This window comes from Homo sapiens, chromosome 14 (assembly GCF_000001405.40).
Source record: "Homo sapiens chromosome 14, GRCh38.p14 Primary Assembly".
NCBI classification, from domain to species: domain Eukaryota; kingdom Metazoa; phylum Chordata; class Mammalia; order Primates; family Hominidae; genus Homo; species Homo sapiens.
Genome location: NC_000014.9, coordinates 27,211,911 through 27,222,406, shown reverse-complemented (window position 1 = coordinate 27,222,406; position 10,496 = coordinate 27,211,911). Strand labels below are relative to the sequence as shown.

Genomic DNA, 10,496 nt, shown 5'->3' with positions numbered 1-10,496 from the left:
TGTAGACTTAAGACTTCTTCTTCTTATTTTTTTTGACAGATTTTTAGTAGACAAAGTTCCTGGCCCATAGCAGGCAGTTAACAAATATTTGCTAGATAAATGACACCTTCTTCATCTGTGGCCTATGTCAAGCAGAGTAGAATTAAATATCCCATATATATGCTCAATATGCTTCTATTATATAGTTTGAATTTTGAGTTACCTGAAAAAAAAATTTGGATTTATCCTTGCTTGATTTCACTGCAGCCATTCAGAATTTATTTATACGAAGAATTCAGTATTTCAGTTCATTAGCATGATTTTTGAGATGTATCATTATCAAATTCTATAAACATGCTTTCCATGCTCCTTCAAAATTGTAACAAAAATGTTGAAGGGGCCAACTGTAGAACAATGAAGCAAAAAATATCTATTTGTTATCTTCCCAATAGTATTTGTCAAAGAGCTCAGAATCCACTTGAATCACTTGAATTTATCCATTCGTTAAAGTTTTTTCTTTTAATTGTACCACTCTCTATATGTTATATATATAATATATATAACATATATATAACGTATATGTTTTATATATAACCTTCTATATATTATAGATATATATATAATCTTCTATATTATACATATACACACATCAGGAGTTTGAGACCAGCCTGGCCAACATAGTGAAACCCCATCCATACTAAAAATACAAAAATTATCTGGGCCTGGGAGCAGGCGGCCTGTAATCCCAGCTACTTGGGAGGCTGAGGCAGGAGAATCGCTTGAACCAGGGAGGTAGAGGTTGCAGTGAGCCGAGATTATGCCACCTGCGAGGTAATCCACCTGCCTCAGCCTCCCAAAGTGCTGCGATTACAGGTGTGAGCCACCGCACCCGGCCTGTTCCTCCTTTTAAAATCTTAACAGACAAAACCCCGTCTCTACTAAAAAATACAAAAAATTAGCCAGGCGTGGTGGCGGGCGTCTGTAGTCCCAGCTACTCAGGAGGCTGAGGCAGAGAATTGCTTGGACCTGGGAGGCGGAGGTTGCAGTGAGCCGAGATCGCGCCACTGCACTCCAGCCTGGGCGACAGAGCAAAACTCTGTCACCAAAAAAAAAAAAAAAAAAAAAAAATCTTAACAGATAAAATAGCAGTCTACATGGTTAACGTAATTTTTATCTGTCTTTTTGTTTTAATATATCTTAGATCTATTGATACTTTTCTATTTTTGACTGGCTTATACAAACAATTGCTTATCTTCAGTCTGTTTCTCCATTATTATTTCAATCTATGGTGTGATGCCTATTTTTTTTCTGCAAAGTGCTTAACATATTTCTTTACTGAGACAGGAAAATAGGGTCTGGAGGCAGGGAACTGAAGGTCGATTGACACTTCAGCTATGACAGGAAATATCCTCTCCATAGGACATATGCCGAATAAATGAGTTTATAACTTTACTTCATCCTCTTCACTTATATAGGGCATACCCCAAGTAACCAATGGAATCTTCTAGAGGGTATTTAAACTCCCAAAACTTCTGTAGCGGGGCCCTTAAGCCCCTACACTTGGGCCCACTCCCACATTGTGAAATGTACTTTCATTTTCAATAAATCTCTTCATTCCTTCCCAGCTTTGTTTGTGCGTTTTGTACAACTCTTTGTCCAAGATGACAAGAACCTGGACACCCTCCACCGGTGACATATTTTGGTGAGCCAGCCAGGAGGAAAAGGTAAGCCCAAAGTTTGGGATTTATTTTTCCATTTTCTCCTTTTCCTTTCTGCTCCATACAGGCAATCACTCTCTCTCTCTCTCTTTTCCTTTCCAACGCGGGACCTTTGGTGGGCAGTGCCTAAACATGGAGACAACTGCAGGTTTCTGGGCGTGGCCAGTCAAACTAAGGGGTTTCCGCGTGGAGAAGCCTGACGGCCACTGCCCGGTTTGCTTACAGGACCTGGGCCTTTTTCATTTTTCTTTTGCCCTCTCTTTGTTTTTCAGTCTTTCAGACGCTGATTCCTGGTAGCTCATCGGAAATTGAGGACAATTGGCTGGGGTCACTCCCAGGTACTGCATGAAGGTCTAGGAATGAATGCGAATAATTGCCCGGCCCAAAAAGGGGAAGGACTTTTTAAAAAATCTTTTCTGCATGATCCCTGATCCCTACCTGCAGGGCAGCTCAGAGCAAACTCAAACATGTTTCAGGTAACTTACATCTTCTTTTCTTATGCTAAATTCTTCCCTTATTATACTCAAGTAGCTAAGGACAAAAAAGCCTGCCTGGCTTCCAGTTCTTCTCATTAGAGTTCATGGCTATTCTTATAAAGCTCATAGTAGGCACTGGAGGGAAACCAACATGTGGCACTGGTGCCCACCTAAGGTCAGAGACATCTGACACTCTAAGATTGGTCCCCACAGGAGGACACTGTTAGAAATAAATTTTTGGTGCTGCAAAAGAAATAGCACTGGAACATGAATTTTCTCAGCAAGGCAATTTTACTTCTATAGAATGGTGCAACTCACAGATGGAGCGATGCTGAGAGCACACCTGAACAAGGGAGGGGAAGGGGTTCTTATCCCTGACGTGGGTAGCCCCTACTGCTGTGTTGTTCCCCTATTGGCTAGAGCTGGACCGCACAGTCTAAGCTAATTCCGATTGGCTATTTTAAAGAGAGCAGGGGTACAAGCCAGAGAGGCGGGGTGAGCTGTTTCTGCAGGAAAGATGGTTATGGAACAGGTGACTAAAGGTGAGTTAGGTCAGAGCAGGTGACCGGGTGACTCAGGACAGAGCAGGTAACCAGGAGTGACTCAGGACAGAGCAGGTGACCAGGTGAAGAGATGTGAATTACTGACTAGAACTGGTGGGGCGCCAGGCACGGTGGCTCACACCTGTAATCCCAGCACTTTGGGAGGCTGAGGCAGGAAGATTGCGAGGTCAGTAGATCGAGACCATCCTGGCTAACATGGTGAAACCCTGTCTCTACTAAAAATACAAAAAATTAGCTGGACTTGGTGGCGGGCGCCTATAGTCCCTGCTGCTCGGGAGGCTGAGGCAGGAGAATGGTGTGAACCCAGGAGGCAGAGTTTGCAGTGAGCTGAGATTGCGCCACTGCGCTCCAGCCTGGGTGACAGTACGAGACTCCATCTCAAAAAAGAAAGAAAGAAAGAAAGAAAGAAAGAAAGAAAGAAAGAAAGAAAGAAAGAAAGAATTGGTGGCAAGGCTGTTTACTGAGGAGAACAAGGAAGTTAAACTTTAAAATGGAGAACAAAGAACTGAACATACTGACATACTGATTCTTTGAAGAGAAACTTAGAACTCACCGTATTTAACAACGCTCTGAGGGATCTGCCAGACCTCAACCTCTCCAAAGAGGACACTCTTGGCACAAGTTCTGAGGTCTTGTATTAGGCCCTCCTTAGAATTTTCTCTTGGAGTTGCAATACTGTTTGGCCCCAACATTGTTTGGGATCTGGAATTTATGGACTAATGGGAAAGTGGAATGGCATTGCATGTATCCAGGCTTTTGTGCTGTGGTTCTCAGCAGGGAGCCCAGTTAACATGTGACACTCTCCTTTGGTGCTGTTTGGCTCCAGTGCTTATTGGAGTCTGGGGAGGTTTGGTCTTTAAAAATCAAACTGCCATGGAGACTGCTTTACCCAAAATTTTGTTTCACAGCCTTCATTGGATTATCTACTCCGGCAAAAAAAGTGAAACTGACAAGCTTGTATTGCTATCTCATGGCTAAGGTTCCAAGTGATTGGATCTTTGTTTATGGGTGTATACATTTCCAGATGCATTTATTTGTATGTACACTTATTGTTATATGTTGTATCTACCACATTGGCTTATAAATTAAAGAACACTCATAAATTAAGTAAATAAGTCTAAGCAATTTTCAAGTTCACGTGAGTTAAGTAAAACTTTACTAAACAAGCTAGCTTTAAAATTATTGGTGGAATAAAAATAGAAATGTCTTCAGAATTGTCAACATACATTTTGTCTGGATTTTATGTTTGTCTTTGCTAAATATTTTGAGATGTCAGTGTTTGGCATGGAAGGTTAGAAAACTACAAACCCAGCCAAGACAAAATAATCTTGGTTTGCATGCTTTCTTTTGACAAATAATGAAACTATAGAATTTATGAAGTGAAAATATTTTTGGCCCCTGAAAATCACTAAGGTGAAGGGAAAATTCAAGCTGGGAATGCTGGGGACAAACCTGCCTCCCATTCTATTCAAAGCTGCTCCTCTGCTCACTGAGATGAATGGATATCTAATTATTACCTTTGGAAAGGCTAATCAGTAAATCAAAAGAATGCAACTGTCTCACACCTACCTGTGACCTGGAAGCCCCAACCTTCCTCCCGACTTCAAGCTGTCCTGCCTTTTCAGACTAAACCAATGTTCATTTTATATGTTAATTGATGTCTCATGTCTCCCTTATTAAAAGTGAAAGAAATGAGTATAAATGTTATCAGTAAACTTTTTGTGTAAATTAAAATCTTAAAGTTATTTTTGATGCTCATTTAACAACTGGGTCATTTCCAGTTAAGAAACGGTTGTGATATGGGGAAATATTTTTCTAAAATTGTGGAATTGTTCTTATCTATAAATGCCTATATCTGATAGTTGAGCATTTCTTGCTTTTTAGGGTTTCACTACAGTTTTATGTTTCTAAGAATAAAAATTCTAGTTAACACATAATTCTGTATACAAAATATGCCAGAAAGGGTTATGATATTAGTGAAAAAAAAGAATAATTTTGTCTAATTGTGAAGTTATCTAAAAGTTAATTCAAATTACAAGTTTGAAAAGGTTATTTATGAAACAATGTGGTAAGGAATCATTAAGTAGGGAAGAAATATGTGGAAAGAGTTTAAATAATAAGATATTCTTTAAAACCTGAATCAGAATTGGGGACATTTGGCTAATTAACATTTTCATAGTTAAAGCCCTTACTCTTGATTAAAGTAAAATAAAAAAAAGTATTGTAAAGAAATGCATCAGCAGTTTGGCAATTCTTTTTTTTTAAATATAATTAAGAACGAAGCTGGATTTAGTGTGGAGCAAAATTTCATATACATGCTTGCACTGCTGCACACTATGTTTACTGTTTTGCATGGACAGTGCTAGAGTTCTTATTGATCATTTGCCTAAAGTGAATTTCTTGATTGCACAGGATGCATGATGATATTGGTGAACTTAAGGCTATTAATTGTGTAACAGGAACAAAATATTCATTATGTGGGTTTTTTGGGTCCTAGGTAACACTGTAGCCTCCAGGGTAAATTGAGTAGGAAAATTTAGTGTTGACTTTCTATTTATTTGTTTTTTTGTGTTTGCTTCAAGTTTTCATATGTTTGTTGTTTATTCTCTTCTGGCTTTGCTTGTGTATGTGTATATATAAAATCATGATATTTTCTAGTTCCTAGTGGAAGACTTTTATTTGGTTCTGTGAATAGTTATTTTGTATCCTATGCATTTCTGACAAGTAAGCATTCATCCCATTTATCTAGAATTCCTAAGCTACCTTTGTTGGGCCAGGAGGAATTAATGAAGTATATCAGCTTTCTATCCTTAAACTAACTTTTTGGATTTTAGGCTTTGTGATACTTTAAGTGTGTTGAGTATACTCTCGTAAAGAGAATTTGTGTCATATTTCTGTCTCTGCCTAATTTCTCCAAAATTTGTAAACTATTTGTGAATATTCTTAATTTATGACAATGTGTTTGTTTGCATACAGTCAAGCAGGGTCATTAGGGCTACTCAGGGAGAGAGAACCCAGAAAACTAGCATGCTGGCAAAACGGTAAGAATTTCTTATGAGTCAGTCTCTGTCCTCTTTCTCTCTATGCAAACTGATTAAATGAAAAGAAAAAGTCAATGTTTATCTCTTTTGTAAAGTTTTAAATTAATTAATTTAATAATAATGAAAGCTTAAATGAAATATTTTGTCAGAAAAGTAAAAAGTGTAATGTCTTTTAGTTCACATGACTTTAGTAATCTTTGGGAAATAAACAGTTTTAAAGGTTATTGGTAAAATACAATTGTCTTCAAAATATAAACATGTGGTCTAAATTGTGTTCAAATATTAGGTTTTCTAATTGTTTTAAGATCATAAACTGCTTCCTTGGCTTTTGAAAATTATTTAACTTGCCTACTTTCCAGCTAAGTAAGGCCTGGGGACATATGGAGATGGCCACAATCCTAGCTATGCTAGAAATAGTCAAATCTTATCAGAACATAACGTACCAGGTTTTACGTTAAAATTAAAATTGCTAAGACCACCATTATAACATGCAATTAAGGCTACTAGAAATAGTTTTACATGTAAGGTATGTAAGAACAGTAGAATGTGTGTGTGTGTGTGTGTGTGTGTGTGTGTGTGTGTGTGTGTGTTTTGCAAAAGGTTATAGAATGTTTTTGCTTCTTTAAAATTTCTTACTCATTATTTTGACAAAATAAATAATTTATGGTAATCTGGATTTCCAAAATCAAACTTTAGTTTAAAAATTGTCTTTCCTAATGCCTGGCTTTTTGGGTACATCAGAGTGTCCCTGAAACCATCCAGAAAAGGGGTAAACAGAATTATTTGACATATTTAGGTATGTGGGATTGCCAAAATGATGTTCAATCTTTAGGTTATATTTTTGTGAATAACACTAATATATGTTCAAAAATCATATGGGATTTTAAAAATTTGAATGTTTAAGTATATGCTACCAATTATAATTATGGTTATTATGTTGTTATTGTAAACTCCAGAAATAACTGACTTTACTTGTATAAAGTAAAGTTCTACTAACACAAGTAGAACAAAAATTCATTAAATACCAAGAAAATACTTAGTCAGATAACTCATCAGTTATCAGTGCTATGCACCTAATTTGAAAAAACAAGTGGTATTCAAGAGGATATAAGTGTAATGTTGATTAAACATGGACTCATGGAGAACCAGGATGGCCACTTTTTCTTTCCTGAGACTTAAAGGTTTTATTATTAAAAGTTTTGCATTTCATGACTCATCATGGAAAAGATAAAATAATCCAAATTGAATACACTGGTGTGATGACTTACAAATTACTAATATAGTTTATAACCAATGTTTAATCCCATAGTCCTGGGAAAACAATTAAAGCTTCAGGTACATTTGGTCACCTGGAGGGCCATTTAAACATTTTGTAAAGGGATTTCATTCAATTGCCATTTTCAGTGCATGTATTCTGGTTGTATAAAAGCTTTCCCATGCAAGAGGGCTGATGTTATAACAGTAGATTATTATGCTACAGTGTATTTTCAACAGATAAATAAGCTTTTTACATTTTGAATCTTGTGAGAACATCAGAGAAAGACTGTTTTTGCCATCCACACTACAACAAAACTTCAGGACCTTGAACTTTGGGTTCATAATCTCACAACTGAGAAGAGTCCCTCCACACTCTTGGAACTGTACACCCATTGGAACCCTTAGAGTAAAACTAACTAGGGAAAATTCTCCCAAGAAGAAGATGGCATCCTTGATGTGAACAGCTTTTCCCAAGTTCACAGATAAAGATTTCTATTATCATGAAACTCTTATCTTTGAATATTGTATCTTGCTTATGCCTCTAGGACAAAGAGAAGTGGAAAACAGGTCTGTTACGTGCACTTATGGGGTGTACTCTTATTTGTGAAGAACTTTGCAGCCAGCCTTATACATGGATAAGCTTACACTTTGATAGATAAAAGACGAAGGCCCAATGTAGGTAAGAAACTTTAATGGTACATACATTGACTCATAATCAGTGAAAAACAAAACGTTGGTTCACTCCTCTTAACCCACACCATGGGTTAAAGAAAACATTGCCAGGAGGCCTTCACTCTTTTAGAAGAGCATCATTTGTCAAGTCCTTTTTCCATGGTTCAGAGTAAAGAAGCAATGAATAGAAATGTATCCCCCATGATAGGCTCTGTAGAAAATTCTGCTGTAAAGGCTACAGTTACACAACAGATTTTAAATTCTCTTGTGAAAGTTATGATAGAATTGACTGAACAAAGAAGTATCTGTGCAGCTGCTGGCACTTGTGGCCTATGGAAAAATACATCAAATGAAGATTATAGAAATTCAGTGGGAGGGGATCAACAACGAGACTGCTTACTTAAGTGAGTAGACTCTTTATCTAACTTATTCTTTGATCTATTTGACTTTAGGAGGTTTGGCTTATGGGGACCTTGTGTAAGAGGCACACTCCAAACTCTTGGTATTATCCTTCCAATAGTCATAATAATAGTCTCCCTGGTGTGCTGTATTCTCTCAAAGGTTTTAAATGCTTGCATACAACCATCTCTAGAATGTCATATGGTCTCTCTTCAACTGGAATAATGAGCTGAAAGAAATGTGCACCATAAGGACACCATAACCTATAAATGATGTACTAAAACTGGAAACCCAAAATGATGATAACTGAGTGGTGCTAAGGCTCTAAGCTTTGGTCACACTCTCACCTTAATGAGAACCTGACCAAAAAGGGGGAATTTTTTTAACAAAATTCTGGGAGGCCATTGTTTTGGACTAAGCTCATGTACTAGGTCCCAACAGACCAAACCAAACCAAAATGGAGTCGTTTGCACTAAGACTTTAAGGAAACACATAGGTCTTAGAACGGATCAGCTTTTGTTTTTTCTCCTGCAAATCTCCATAATGAACATTCCTGACAGCATAGGTATCTACCCGCTGAAGTTCCCATTATATCTTTTAACCAAATTTATTTCCTCTTGCCCAGAGACCATCGACATTCAGATGACCATGCAACAAAGGTTCCAGCCAGTTCCAGATGAAGACACCACCCCTGGCCATCAAGAAGCTAACCCGCCTCCACCAGACAGAGCAGGGTGAGAGTTTCGTGATCCCTAATAGGAAGAGACTACGCCCGAAGCCAGCATGAAGCAGTTACAGAAAAAAGACTATCGGTTCCTCTGCCTCCCATAAAGATTTATGGGAATGACATCTCTCAGTGGGGAATGGGCAGGAAAATAGGGTCTGGAGGCAAGGAACTTAAGGTCCATAAATAATTTAGCTATGTCAAGAAATATCCTCTCCACAAGGCGTACGCCGAGTAAATGACTTTGTAACTTTACTTCATCCTCTTCATTTACATAGGGCATACCGCAAGTAACCAATGGAATCCCCAAGAGGGTATTTAAACTCCCCAAAATTCTGTAACTGGGCCCTTGAGCCCCTATGCTCAGGCCTCCTCCCACAATGTGGAGTGTACTTTCATTTTCAATAAATCTCTTCATCCCTTCCTTGCTTTGCTTGCGCATTTTGTCCAATTCTTGTTCATGATGCCAAGAACCTGCACACCCTCCACTGGTGACACTGAAGTCCACATATCTGATGGTGGAGATTAATATCCTATTTGTCTATTGTTAATCATGATCTCTTTATATCATTTAGTAATTTTTTACAAGCTACCTTTTAATATCTTTTAGTAATTTTTCAGGAATAAGCCAGATTAGATCTATAAACTTTTGACTTTTCATCAAGAGATGTACTAAAAAAGATCAATTCTTTCTGTTTTAATTTGATAAAATTTCCAGGCAAAGCATGGATTAGATTTTTTCATTTCACATGTATATGTTCTTTTACTGACACAATTTAGCTAGATGGTGTTTACTGTCATCCTAATAATCATCACTAAGTTCACTTAGGTATTTATCTTGATTGGGTGGTTATGCTACAGCAATAAATTAGCCATAATATCTAAATTGCTTAAAAGCAACAATATACTGCTCATGATATATATTCATCTAGGCTTGGTAGTGGTAAGAGCCTTCTGTTCTACCTAGTTTCCAAAGACCTATGCGGATAGAAACTGTATTACCTGGAATGTCACAATTCACTGTGTGCCAGCTAGAAAATCATGTGGATCTCTTCTATGCTCTGTCTCAGAAGTGCTACACATCACTCTGCCCATGGTCCATAGCCCAGAACCAGGCACATACCCCTGCCTAATTGCAAGACTTGAAATACAAACGGGGTATTTGATGAGCAACATTGTCTCTGCCTGGTTTGTGGATTATTTTGCACCTATATACTTACATCCAACCCCTTTGACTAGAATTGTTACTCAAAAGCAACAGCCATATTCCAATTATAAGTACTATCCCATTGAATTTCCAGTGATAATAATGAGAAAATATCTATTTTTGTAAAAATACCAGGTCCTTAGTTCATTTGCATAATTTTGGTATATAGTGACTAAAGTTCTATATATCAACATCTCTATATCTCTATATGCACTTTGAGTGCATTCTTTCCACAATAAATCTTTACATGACATACCTCTTTCTTTTACAAAATCTAGTCTGTGTTTTGTTTGAGAATTCCTGTCTCTGATAATTCAGTTTAAAATTATTTTGCTCATATAAGAATGTTTTGTTGACTGCATTATTCTGAGTACTGCAAGATCTAATGTCTTTGGCAATGAGAATTTTAAAATCCTATTTTTAACTTTTCCACAGCCATCTGTTCACTTCTCATAAATAT

The 10,496-nt window shown here is 37.3% G+C and overlaps 1 long non-coding RNA gene across 1 annotated transcript; it reads left to right on the top strand.

The window, feature by feature from the left end:
• Window positions 1-1,622: 1,622 nt before the first annotated feature.
• On the top strand, window positions 1,623-8,816 carry LOC105370421 (uncharacterized). Its single transcript, XR_943663.3, has 4 exons — window positions 1,623-1,703; window positions 1,970-2,173; window positions 7,580-7,713; window positions 8,731-8,816. It is a non-coding gene; the product is annotated as an uncharacterized LOC105370421 (long non-coding RNA).
• Window positions 8,817-10,496: the final 1,680 nt, after the last annotated feature.